This window comes from Homo sapiens, chromosome 1 (assembly GCF_000001405.40).
Source record: "Homo sapiens chromosome 1, GRCh38.p14 Primary Assembly".
In the NCBI taxonomy this organism is placed as follows: domain Eukaryota; kingdom Metazoa; phylum Chordata; class Mammalia; order Primates; family Hominidae; genus Homo; species Homo sapiens.
Window position 1 is genome coordinate 74023273 of NC_000001.11, and position 14670 is coordinate 74037942.

The 14670-nt window shown below is 35.0% G+C and overlaps 1 protein-coding gene across 6 annotated transcripts in view; it reads right to left on the bottom strand.

Moving 5' to 3' along the window:
• Window positions 1–2742: 2742 nt before the first annotated feature.
• LRRIQ3 (leucine rich repeats and IQ motif containing 3) overlaps window positions 2743–14670 on the bottom strand; it is a 172162-nt gene continuing 160234 nt past the window's right edge. For 3 of the 6 annotated variants that reach the window (XM_047445383.1, XM_047445373.1, XM_047445378.1), the window contains one exon: window positions 2969–3697. In XM_047445383.1, coding sequence (XP_047301339.1) covers window positions 3541–3697 — 157 coding nt within the window. In that variant the 3' untranslated portion in view covers window positions 2969–3540. Of the gene's footprint in view, window positions 3698–14670 lie in introns of all 6 variants that reach the window. The other 3 variants (NM_001322315.2, NM_001105659.2, XR_007079570.1) reach the window with 2 other exon arrangements.

The following is a 14670-nucleotide window of genomic DNA, read 5'->3' on the forward strand; positions in this document are numbered from 1 at the left end:
ATTTATGAAGCCATAGTTAAAATGCATTACTTTCCACCTCCACCATCTCTTCAAGGTACTTTTGCCTTCAGCCAACAATTCACTATAACAGGCTTTACCTGGTAGGCTTACCCAAATATTCTTTCCTGAGAAATACAAGCCCTTGCTTGTAAAGTGTTGAGGCAGCGTTCCATTAACTTTAGCTCTAGACATGGAAGTATATGGAGATGTTCCAAGGGATAGCTGGAGCTCTATCTGTACTCCTTCATAGTTTTATTGTGTGAAAACTCTGTTTCCCATTGATAATCAGACACTTACTGGGAAAAGTAAGCCTAGAAATTCCCTGGTTAAAGTATGGGCAGGAACTTAGCAAATCCAGTGGCACAAAACAAAGTCATGTTAGAACACAGAAAGAATCTGGAAGAACTTCTGGTAATACAGCCATAGGAAACTAGTAGTTTCTCTCCTGGAATGTTGAGCTGCAATGGCAGTGAATAATTTATAAATTACCTCTGTCTTAGCAATATTTCAAGATCCAGAATCATGGGCAAGAATAAATAATCAATCAGGTGCCCTCACTGTAGCTGAGTGTAGGGGGAGGGAATGTCTGATACCTTTAGCCCCATTGTGAATGACAAGCAAGTTTCCTCCTTAAAAACCCACAAAGCCTACTAATACTTTGCCTCATAAAACCGAGAAGCCTCACTTGCCTAAAATAAGATAGGGAGATAGGTTACTCCCTTTCCACTGCTGCATCCTAGTTCAAACCCTGTATCTGTACCAGTATAAAAATGGGATCTCTTCCCCAGTATGAATGTGTTTGCTGCTACTTATGCTAGCTAGAGTCTGCTGAATCACTCTGTATAGACTCAACCATTATGATATATTAATTACAATAAAACTGTTGGTCAGAAAATGTATATGTTTGAATGTATAGGGTGGTGCTCGTATGTCTCATTTGCTTTATGTGCGAAAGTTATCATAGGATTATGGATGAAGACAAAGACAGGAAGAGCTCAGCCAACAATTGTTTAAGTGTCAGTGACCCAGAAAGTGACAGGGTAGGGTGAAGGAGTTGGGTGAGAAGCAAGAAAAAGAGATCAGTAAACAGAACAACATGCATACATACATATACCCCTAAACCTAGAAAAACAACCCAAAATATTAACAGTGGTTATCTGTGGGTCATAGGCTATTACTTTCATTTTATAATTTAAATACATTTTCTACTTTTCAAAAATAATGCTGCTATTATAATTGAAATACAATATTTTAAATTGTTATAGTGACTCAGAAGAAAGTGTAAAATACATCTAATTGGAAGGATTAGACAAATTTCTATGGATCACAGTGTTGGGGTATTAGATTTCATTAAAAATTATGCAGGTGACATTTGTGATATGGAGCGTATCGGCCAGGAGTGAAAAATAACTGGAGTCAAGGAAGAAGTCATATAATCATGGTTTTCAAGAACCATTAATGTTCTAATTTGAATGGGATGGGACGTGCTATTATAGGTCAAGCATCCCTAATCTGAAAATCTGAAATCAAAATGTTCCGAAGTCCAAAACTTTTTGATACCTGACATGACACAAGTGGGAAATTCCACACCTGACCTCATGTGATGGGTCACAGTAAAAATGTGGTCAAAACTTTGTTTCATGCACCAAATTATTGAAAATGTTTTATAAAATTACATTCAAGCTATGTGTACAAATGTATATAAGACACAAATGAATTTCATGTTTAAATTTTGGTCCTATCCATAATATACCTCATTATGTATATGCAAATATTCCAGAATTTAAAAAAAAATCTGAAATCTGAAACAATTCTGGTCCCAAGCAACTTGGATAAGGGATGCTCAATCTGTAGAAGATAAATACCAGAAACAAATCAAGAAATATGGTAGCGCTTCTAAAGAGAGTATTTGAGGTAGAAATAATATATTGTTCTTTAGACTTTCTTTTATTATGTATGTGTCTGTACATATGTGTGATCTGTGTCTGTGTGGGTGTGTGAAATTTAAAAAAAATCATTCTGCTTAAGTCTGTAATTTGCACTGAAGGTAAGAGTTACTCTATGAAAGAGTGCAACAGAATTCTAAGAAATCTTTTAAAAAGTGCTGGCTGAAAGGGTAGGAATAGGAAAACAAATTAACCAACAATATACATATTGCTTTCTAGATTTAACTAAAAAAATTTTTTTAGACATAAGTGATCTGAATAATGAAGTTAAAGGCAGTATAGGACACTAACACCCAGAACCCATAACATTTAAAACTTTACATGGGCTATAGTATGAGTAGACCTCGGTCTCCATATTTCTGTCTTCAATATTGGTTTTCTTACTACCCCACAAAGCCAGTACGATACGTTGGGTTTTTGTGATAGTAGCACTCCTATTTTGGTAACAAGTTCTCTACTGATTAAATCACTCATAGATGCTGGCCTAATATAGTTGATGTGGTTGCAAAGCCCTTAATATAACTGAATTTTCTTTTGGATGATGTAAAGTACAAAACAGGTATTCTCTATCATACTCCAAACAGGGATTTAGGAGGCCAGGTTCTTTCTATCTAGGGAATTTTTTAAGCAATAATGTTTTAAAGGCTTACATATATAACCAGTGAGTATTAAAGAGAAATTTTGAATAGCATTAGCTACATCGTATTTAGTGAACAATGTCATAATTATAGTGAGACACTCATCCTTCTAGATATATGAAATCACTATTGAAAATGGATGCAAATTTTACAAAGGATTTTTCTGTCTTTTTTAACAGTTTATTTTTCAAATTTTCTACCATTGGTATGTATTAAACAGACTTATGGTTAATATATACCATTTCTGTATATTTTATGATTCCAATATATAATTATATGGGTTGTCTCTTGCTTCTCTCCTCTGTCTTTTCCCTGTCTTCACATGTATACCAAACAGGGCAAACCCATCAAAAGTAAATATACAAAAATCTTACAGTCTTCAAGGAAGGTGATAAGAATGTTTAATTTACTTTTCATAGTTCATATTTTCTGAATTTTTATAACAGCATATATCACTGACAAAATATTGAAACCATACTTTAAAAAATAAATTCAGAAATTGTTTTAACAAAATAAGCAGGAAATATATAAAAGCAGGTAATAAAAGTCATCAACGTACACAGTGTCTTAATAAAAGTCAGCAGTTGGAGTAGAAATTACTATTCTAAGGTTTCCAGAAAAACCTAAATTAGCTTATGAATTGCTATATTTAGAAAGAATATGAAACAGAATATCAGCAATGTCATTGCAACATTGTCTGCAATACATTAAATCAGTTTAATTGTTCCTTAGGCATCTGATCTAAGAAATTTTTCAGAGGTGCTAAGTCAACTTTAAGTTAAATTATGACCAATAAGAGAAACATTTTAACTAATCTTTATATTTTTAGAAGACTTATATATAAATCCATCTTGTGATGTAGAGTATTTCTTGCTTTAGAGTATTATTTCAAATTCCTTCAACTAAAAATAATGACTATAATTTAAGATGATCATAGGATGTGATCTGGCATTGATTCATTTTATCAGTCCATTGGGAACTTTAAAGTCTAAATTTGTTTTCACAATTGCTACTTTTGTTTTAGCATCTTGAAGTCTTTCACAGGCTTTTTCAAAGGCAATCATATCCATAACAAATTTTTCTTCACAATGTCTTTTATATATTTCTTGAGATCTAAGAGGAGAAAGAAAGGTAATAGAATGAGATACTTTTAAATACTGAAACCATGGCAATCTATTAGACTATTAATGATAATAATTAGATGTCTTCGAAATAGGCATATACAAGTGAGAAAGACACAACTCCATTTATATAACTTGGTTATATCATTAAACAATACTCAGACAAGTATTTATGAGATATCTATAAGCTATAATTAAAAATTCTCACAAACTATGGCTTAGATTTCCAAAGAGGCATCTAAACTACCCTATGTCATCACCTAAAATACATCTCCTTAAGCCTCACTAAACCCAAGCTACTTCTTCGACTCTGTTATGGTCTGAATGCATTCCACCATATTCATATGTCAAAGTCCTAACTCCCAGTGTCTTTGAATGTGACTATTTGGAGATAAGGCCTTTAAGAAGTAGTTAAGGCTAAATGACATTATATGGGTAGGTCCTAATCCAATATAATTTGTGTACTTATAAGAAGAGGAAGCAAGAGCAGAGATGTGAGTGTACAGAAGAAAGGCCATGGGAGGACACAAGGCAAAGGTGGCCATCTGCAAGCCAAGGAGAGAGGGCTCAATAGAAACCACACCTGCTGACACTTTGTTCTTGGACTTCCAACCTCCAGAACTGGGAGAAAATAAATTACTGTTTAAGCCACCCAGCCTGTGATATTTTGTTATGGCAGTCCTAGTAGACTAATACCCTGCCAAACCGGGGAAATGTCACAGGTCTTAGGAGATTTCATTCATTCATCCTTATTTATTCAACAATTATGTATTGTGATGCATGGCACTAACCTTAGATGCTGGAGACATAAATATGACATGATGTAACTACATGAAGCTTATCAAAAGTTAAGAGAAATAAATGTATATAAATATACAAATGAGATATTATGGTTCATCGTGAAAACATTATGTAACAAGTCAGAGTGAGGAAAAACTTGAGTAAAAACTTGGTAAATATAAACTAAAGAGCAAGGAGGGGAAGATAAAAAAAAGTTTAAAGTTAAAATAACCTTTGAACTGAATCTTGAAAGATGTGTATTTTCCAGTCAGAAAGTGGAAGAGAATTTTGTTCAAACTATTTTTATATCACGAACATGGTCAAAACAAAGGTAGAGAGGGTAGCACAGCTTGGAATGCTCCAAGAACTGGCATCAATCTAATTGTCTGGGTCTTACAGTCTGGGAAGGAGAACAAGGCAGCAGGCAAGGCTGGAGAAACAAATTTAGGCCAGATCATAAAATACTTTATTTATGTGTAGGTATACTCAGAAATCTGAAGTTGAGGAGAAAAAGAGAGGGTGAAGTCTAAAAAGCCTGCAGCTTATTGATGATGTGATTTTAGACAAGATATTCATGTTCTTTCTCTCTCATTTTCTTCATTGTTAAGGAGATAACCTAACTCATAGGGTTAGTAAAGGACTAAGTGGGTTGATACATTAAAAATTCTTAGGTGAATGCCTAATATTAAATAATTAATTTTACTGGATGGATAATAGTGGCCTTCAACAGAAAGAAATGTAGGTAGAGCAACAAGACGGGAAGAAAGATTAGAGTTCTGACTGGAAATGGTTAGTGTTAAGAGCCTGCTTATTCATGTGGTGATGCCCAGGGTGTTGAATATAGAGAAGTGAAGGCTTATAGTTAAGAGTACAGGTAGTAAAGCCATTCTGCTTGGCTCTGAAATGTATTGTTGGTGTGATTTTAGATAGGTTATTTAAGTTGTCTCTGTATTATTTTTTTTCATCTTTATAAAGAGGACATTTCAACTCACAGGGTTTAGTAGGAAGTAAATAAACTAACACATTTAAAATCCTTAAAGGAGTGCCTAGCATTTAATAATCATTTTAGTAGTAGCTAAAAGTTAGCTACTAGTACTATAAGCCTAGAAATCAGGAGAGTAGTCAGGTCTGGACGTGTAGCAGAGTAGAAATCATAGCAAAGGAATCTTGCACATGTAATTAAGGATAGTAATTAAGTCAATAAATGTACTAAAATAGCCCTCTTACAGATAAACATTATAAGCTGTGAAGAAAATGTAAGTAAAATAACTATTTAAAAGTCTTAAAGATTTTTGCACATTGATTTTGTATCCTGAGACTTTGCTGAAGTTGCTTATCAGCTTAAGGAGATTTTGGGCTGAGACAATGGGGTTTTCTAGATATACAATCACGTCATCTGCAAACAGGGACAATTTGACTTCCTCTTTTCCTAATTGAATACCCTTTATTTCTTTCTCCTGCCTGCTTGCCCTGGCCAGAACTTCCAACACTATGTTGAATAGGAGTGGCGAGAGAGGGCATCCCTGTCTTGTGCCAGTTTTCAAAGGGAATGCTTCCAGTTTTTGCCCATTCAGTATGACATTGGCTGTGGGTTTGTCATAAATAGCTCTTCTTATTTTGAGGTAATTTATTGAGAGTTTTTAGCATGAACAGCTCTTGAATTTTGTCAAAGGCCTTTTCTGCATCTATTGAGATAATCATGTGGTTTTTGTCTTTGGTTCTGTTTATATGCTGGATTACGTTTATTGATTTGAGTATGTTGAACCAGCCTTGCATCCCAGGGATGAAGCCCACTTGATCATGGTGGATAAGATTTTTGATCTACTGCTGGACTTGGTATGCCAGTATTTTATTGAGGATTTTTGCATCGATGTTCACCAGGGATATTGGTCTAAAATTCTCTTTTTTGTGTGTGTCTCTGCTAGGCTTTGGCATCAGGATGATGCTGGTCTCATAAATTGAGTTAGGGAGGATTCCTTCTTTTTCTATTGATTGGAATAATTTCGGAAGAAATGGTACCAGCTCCTTCTTGTACCTCTGGTAGAATTCGGCTGTGAATCCATCTGGTCCTGGACTTTTTTTGGTTGGTAAGCTATAAACTATTGCCTCAATTTCAGAGCCTGTTATTGGTCTATTAAGAGATTCAACTTCTTCCTAGTTTAGTCTTGGGAGGGTGTATGTGTCAAGGAATTTATCCATTTCTTCTAGATTTTCTAGTTTATTTGCTCAGAGAGCCAAATCATGAGTGAACTCCCATTCACAATCGTTTCAAAGAGAATAAAATACCTAGGGATCCAACTTACCAGGGATGTGAAGGACCTCTTCAAGGAGAACTACAAACCACTGCTCAACAAAATAAAAGAGGACACAAACAAATGGTAGACTATTCCATGCTCATGGATAGGAGAATCAATATCATGAAAATGGTCATATTGCCCAAGGTAATTTATAGATTCAGTGCCATCCCCATCAAGCTACCAATGACTTTCTTGGAAAAAACTACTTTAAAGTTCATATGGAACCAAAAAAGAGCCCGCAATGCCAAGTCAATCCTAAGCCAAAAGAACAAAGCTGGAGGCATCATGCTACCTGACTTCAAACTATACTACAAGGCTACAGTAACCAAAACAGCATGGTACTGGTACCAAAACAGAGATATAGACCAATGGAATAGAACAGAGCCCTCAGAAATAATACCACACATCTACAACTATCTGATCCTTGACAAACCTGACAAAAACAATAAATGGGGAAAAGATTCCCTATTTAACAAATGGTGGTGGGAAAACTGGCTAGCCATATGTAGAAAGCTGAAACTGGATCCCTTCCTTACACCTTATACAAAAATTAATTCAAGATGGATTAAAGACTTAAATGTTAGACCTAAAACCATAAAAACCCTAAAAGAAAACCTAGGCAATACCATTCAGGACATAGGCATGGGCAAGGACTTCATGTCTAAAACACCAAACGCAATGGCAACAAAAGCCGAAATTGACAAATGGGGTCTAATTAAACTAAAGAGCTTCTGCACAGCAAAAGAAACTACCATCAGAATGAACAGACAACCTACAGAATGTGAGAAAACTTTTGCAATCTACTCATCTGACAAAGGGCTAATATCTAGAATCTACAAAGAACTCAAACAAATTTACAAGAAAATAACAAACAACCCCATCAAAAAGTGGGCAAAGGATATAAACAGACACTTCTCAAAAGAAGACATTTATGCAGCCAACAGACACATGAAATAATGCTCATCATCACTGTCCATCAGAGAAATGCAAATCAAAACCACAGTGAGATATCATCTCACACCAGTTAGAATGGCGATCATTAAAAAGTCAGGAAACAACAGGTGCTGGAGAGGATGTGGAGAAATAGGAACACTTTTACATTGTTGGTGGGACTGTAGACTAGTTCCACCATTGTGGAAGACAGTGTGGCAATTCCTCAGGGATCTAGAACTAGAAATACCATTTGACCCAGCCATCCCATTACTGGGTATATACCCAAAGGATTATAAATCATGCTGCTATAAAGACACATGCACACGTTTGTTTATTGCAGCACTATTCACAAAAGCAAAGACTTGGAACTAACCCAGATGTCCAACAATGATAGACTGGATTAAGAAAATGTGGCACATATACACCATGGAATACTATGCAGCCACAAAAAATGATGAGTTCATGTCCTTTGTAGGGACATGGATGAAGCTGGAAACCATCATTCTCAGCAAACTATCACAAGGACAAAAAACCAAACACCGCATGTTCTCACTCATAGGTGGGAATTGAACAATGAGAACACTTGAACACAGGAAGGGGAACATCACACACTGGGGCCTGTTGTGGGGTGAGGGGAGGGGGGAGGGATAGCATTAGGAGATATACCTAATGTAAATGAGGAGTTACTGGGTGCAGCACACCAACATGGCACATGTATACATATGTAACAAACCTGCACGTTGTGCACATGTACCCTAGAACTTAAAGTATAATAAAAAATATATTTAAAAAAGTCTTAGAGAATGAGAAATATGAAATAATCAATTATATCATTATATCCATGTATACCAATGTCAAACAATTGGAAAATAAAATCAAGTGATTCCACTTACACTGTGACCAGAAAAGCATAAAATATTTAGACATAAATGTAATAAAAGATAGGCAAGGTCTATACCTAAAAATGATAAAATATTGCTAAAAGAAATTTAAAAAGATCTAAATTAATGGGGAGTTATATCATCTCAGAGATTATAAGATAATATTATGATGTCAATTTTTCCCAAGTGGATCTATGGATAAATAAAATTACAATTAATATGCCAAGAGCCTCTATGATAGAAATTAGAAATTAACATTTACATTTGTTTTAAATATATATTAATTTAATTCAGATTTATTTTAAATGTGTTAAATTTAAATGTTTTGAATTTATTAAAATTTAAATTTATATGAAAATGCAAAGGTCCTAGAACAACCAATACAATCTTGGGAAAACAGAACAAAGTTGGAATCTATTTTTCATTCCACATAACAATTTACCCATAAATGTATTGGCTTACAACAACCACCTTATAATACCTCATAGTTTCATTAGGTCAGAAGTCCAGGCACATTGTGGCTAGTTGGGTTTTCTGCTTAGGTCTCACAAGGCTGAAATCAAGGTGTCAGCCAGAGCAATGGTTCTCATTTAGGTCTTGGGTCCTCATCCAGATCAGTGGTTGTTGTCAGAATTAATTTTATCATCACTCTTTCCCTGTGCTTCCCTCTATTTTTAAGTCAGCAATATCATGTAAAACCCTTCTTATACTTTGAATCTGATGTTCTCTTTTGTCTCTGTATTTGAAAGGCTCATGTGATACATTGGGCGCATCTGGATAATCCAGAATAATTTCCTTATGTTAAGGTTAATTAAGCAATATTCTTAATTACATATTTAAAGTCCCTTTACCAACACATTCACAGGTGTGCTATCTCATCATATTCATAGTCCTGGGAATCAAGGAGGGCATGGTATCTATCTTCTTGGTAGCCATAATTCTGACTAACACAGCAGCCTTACATTACTTGATTTTAAAGATTATAAGAATTATAAGAGGAGAGTTTATTAGCTTTTTACAGAAAAATGGAAACCTAATCATGAGACAGCAGAAAAGGAAACTGTGGTAAATATAAAATATATAGAATTTTATAAATATGGATATAGGAAGTTGAATGAATTAAAGCTTGAAGTCCTAAAATTTCGTTGGGAAATAGATAAATTATCTTGTTGAGAAGGAGAGGCCATAAGTGGTGTTTGAATAGAAAGCTGTACTGTTGAAGATTTTAAATGGCTCTTGTAGGTAACAGGAGAAAGAGCAAGCAACTGTGGGAGCAGCTCAAGTTGGAGACCATAAAATTAATATTGGCATAAATCTGTGGGGCATTGATTTCTTCTAGACATTTTTATCCAAATACAGGAAATAAAGATAGATAGTTGAAATGTTCCAAGGGTTGTAAGGAACATTTTAGCATAATCAAGGCAATGAAATGAAAGAACTTTAGAGACACTGGAGAGAATGGACAAAATAATAATTGAATTAAAGAACCTCGGAGCCTACACTAGAAATGAAAATAAAAGTGTATAAAGGAGGTTATTTGATGGATGGGTGTCACCATATATTTGGAGGATATGTGTGGTGGAAGTAAAGGAAGAAAGGAGTTGAGGAAGAAAGGAGTTGAAAAGATAGATTTTAGTTATAAATAAATATATAGGAGTTGAAGATTTAAGAGGTGGGGCAGTTCCAAGTGATAAGAGGATCTTTGTATGTGTCTATGGAAATCAGTTTATTAACGTCCGGTAGGATAAAGATTGTTGGTGTCCAAAAATGTTGATATTAGGTAATTGGGAGGGCTGTTCTTATGAATTTGGAAGTTAACAATGATTATGGCAGAAATTGGATGGAGAGAAAAAGCTTCATAAGTCAAAATGATGTAAAGACCACAGTAAATGAAGATGGTAGTATGGGAGGTCAATTGATGACCAAATAAGGACAAGTTGAAGATGATGTAATTGAAAAACCACTTTATTTTCTAGCTCTTCCATGCTAAGTGATACCCTACTTCAAAATGGACACCCTGCTCTCCTGGCTTGAACAGTATCATCACTTTCTCAGAGTACAGACATGAATATCTTAGAAAAACCCCTGACTAGCTTTTATCTGATACATAGATTCTTTCATTTCAAAGTCTATCTTTAATTAATGCTTAAATACTCCTGTGGGTATTTTATTAACTTTCTAAATTAGAGCTTTATGGTTCCCCTTTTTTCTTTTACTCTTTCTCATTCCACATAGCAGGATTAGGGAGCTACATTCTCAATAATGACTTCACTAGTTATGGAAATTTATCAGAATGCTTTTAGGTCAAGAGAATAAAGAATCATCAGCGGAAAAAGTATCAGAATTGAAAAATTTCAGAAGTCTCCAGTTAGATTTCACTTTTTGATCACATCTTCTTTCTGTATATTGATACCTAATCTTTATTTGAAAATATTTAGAGTAAAACTCAAAGATGCCTACTGGAACATACTACTCGCATAACCAAAACATTGCCCTATTCTTATGTGCTCTGCAGGTTAATACTTTTGCAGTAGCTTATGAGAGAAGATAATTCAGTTAACATATATTAGGATGCTTGTTTGAGTCTGTATTCTTTAAAAATTAATTATGGCCAGATATTCATTTTACTGTGAAAAAACTAAGCTGATTAAATTAGATTGATTTGCACTAGATTTGTATTTCAATACATACTAGCTTTCATTTTCTTTTCCAAAATACTTTTTTAAATTAAAATAAGTTATAGGAAATATTTCCAAAGCACACACAGACACACACACACACACACACACACACACACCACAAAGTGTACACTAAAGAAAATGATTTTAAATATGGAGGGGGAAATAAATAGTATTTTTCATACGTAATAAAGTATTACATAAAACACATCAGTAAATAGCTTAAATTGCTTATAAGTAGGAAAAGGCAAATGCTTTTTTTTATTTAAAACTTCTTTCTAGCACAGGCTTTTAAAAACAATGTTGTTTAAAAATTTAAATAAAATAAGCAGTTCTGAAGATCTCTAAATGTTTCTATACAAGCCTTAAATATGTATGTACATAATTTGGCCATTTGAAATAGCACTAGGATAAAACTGTGGCTGACCAGTTTCAATCTAATATCAGAGAAAAAATGTGTGAAAGACTTTGAAAGGGTAAAATAAAATTACTAGGAGTCCTGGCTAGTACACCCTTCAGAACTATCTGTGCCTTTCAATCTCCGTGAACAATTTTACAACTCTAAATTAAGAAAAACTGTGAGCAATACAAATGATTCTTCTTTATAGAGATATAAATAATTGTGTTCAGCTAAGTTACGTTTGATTATTGCCCAGTGAATATTGACTAGTTTTGCACCTATCTGTGAATTTAGTTCAGCATTTTTGATTGCCAATATCAATATAGACATAGAAGTAGACATAGACATAGACATAGATATAATATATAGATAGATAAATGTTCTTTGAATTCTCATAACTGATTTATTCTTTAATGAGTTAAATGATATCTTTGGCATGTGCTCATTTTATATTTATATGGGTCATGGTTTTATGTTCTTAAAAATGTTCCTTGGCAATTAATAAAATTTAAATTGACTAGCTGTAAGTTAAAATATTTTGAGTCAACAAAGCTCCTACTTTACCAAATTTGGTTTAAAACTTTAAAACCTTCACCATAAAACAATTTCTATTTTTGCAATTCTTTGAGAAAGTTTTGTCCAAAGTGTGCCCTAAGAATTATTTTCTGAGATATTTCTTGAAAGGAAAGTTTTATGGTAAAATACATGTGTAAAATGCAATATATCTTTCTGGTAGGAATCCTAATGGTCTTTACTGCACAACTGTCTACTGAGACTTAGAGGCTCTTTTTAATCAAGTTGATGTTTCTCAAGCAATTGCACTGTCAACTACTCTTCATAAACTTTCTGCTATAGGTACAGGAATATTCACGATCTCCTTGATCTCCCCTAGCTTTACCTATTTTGAACTTTCCAACTTTGCTTATCCTCTTCTCCTTGCCTCACCTCTCTACTATAATGGTCTCCTCTCACCTCTCTGCTTTTCCAATGTGAATCAACAATTGTACTTCTCCTACTACTATTTTTTGTAACAATTGAAATGTATGCTTATGTTTGCCACTGGACTGTGAGTTCTTAGAGGATCAAGAATATCTTATTCATCTTTGTATGGCAGGGCAAGGGAGAATTTAAGTGAAGTAACACTCTGGTTTAGTTAAGGCTTCTCTTTGAAGGTTTTGATTTTGGAGTAGCAAAAAATGCTGCCCCCAAATATGGCACATTGGCACACTATGTATTTTAAGCTGAAGGAAACTGAGAAACTTGCAGAAGCAGAAAGATTGCTCTCAACTTCCGCCTCCTGTCTTTTAAACACTGTGACAAGTGCCATGCTTTAAACCATGAGGGAAGGAATATTATATAGAAAGGCCAAGAAGAATCTGAACAAACAGGCCTTGCTTGGTACCCCTCATCCCCAGTTTATTACCATTAGGTCATACCCTTTTCTTTTTGTTCCAATCATACTTCTACAAAATTGTCTATTCTTCATCAAATCTAAGCATAAAAATAGTTGTCCCTGGGTCTTCATTTTAGAAAGCTTCTAGGTCACATAACATTTTGATGAAATAAATTTGTTATGCCTTTTTCTTGCTAATCTGTCTTTATTATAGAAGTGTCAGCCATAAACCCATTAATGTACCCGAAATTTTAATTGTCTATTCGTAATGTTTGTGTTATTGCTGGTATTATTATGTAACTCTGTTAATCTCATTGCTTTTTGCCATATTTCCCACCTCAATTTTCAGTTTCTTGGGCCAAATGATCTTTACATGACTACATCACCTGTAAGAGAACTCTTCAAGAGCTAGAAATGAATTACTACTTGAATTATTTGAATTGAAGGTAGGTACTACTTAGTAGAAGCACCAATGATCACAGAGGGGCAGAAAAAAATGTGCAGGGCAAATTTACTGCCATGAATTAAGCACTTGTACTAAGAAGTTTACTTAGTCTAATGATTAGTGAAGCTACTTTCGTAACTTGGTTAATTACATTTTTACTCTATGTTTAATATTATTCTGATTATCTTCATTGTAAAAGCATTTAGAAAAAATATACATTGCTTCTTATTCTAAATGACTTAAGTACAAATATGTAAAAAGCACTCTCTTCTCAGTGGTTGTTATATGACTTAAATGAGTTTATATACAACCTTTACTAATTGAGGTTCTCGCCTATTTTCCTCAAGAAATGTGTGTTGAATAAATTTGTTAACTAGGTACTATACTGGGCATTGAAATAGAAAGATGGAGTGAATAATACAAAGACTTGATTATTTTCTTGAGGGGGTGGGGCCAAAATGGCTGACTAGAAGCAGCAGTGATTGGAGGCTGTCATCAAAAAGAACCATAACTGCCTCCAAATCCTGCACTGGCAACTGAGGTATGCAGGGTCTTCATCAAAACTGACTAGGGCCAGGTGAGGTGACTCACACCTGTAATCCCAGCAATTTGGGAGGCTGAGGGGGACGGATCACCTGAGGTCAGGAGCTGGAGACCAGTCTGGCCAACGTGGTGAAACCTTGTCTCTACTAAAAATACAAAAAACGGCTTGGTGTGGTGGCGGACGCTTGTAATCCCATACTCAGGAGGCTGAGGCAGGAGAATCATTTGGGAGGTGAAGGGTGCAGTGAGCCAAGATCATGCCATTGCACTCCAGCTTGGGCAACAAGAGTGAAACTGTGTCTCAAAACAAAACAAAACAAAAAACAAACAAACAACAACAACAACAAAAAACAAGAACTGACTAGGCAGCTGGTATGACCCATGGAGAGGAAGGAAGAGCAGTGTGCTGTGGTGGCCCACCTAAGAGCCACACGGGGCAGGGGAGCCCCCACACCCCAGTCAAGGGAGGTGGTGAGTGTGCTACCCAGCCTAGGAAACCGTGCTTTTTCCATGGAACTGTGCAACCCAAGGATTGGAGGATCCCACTCATGAACCCATGCCACCGGGAAGCCATGCAGATTCTCAACAGCCACTCAACTAGAATCTGCTTAAGAC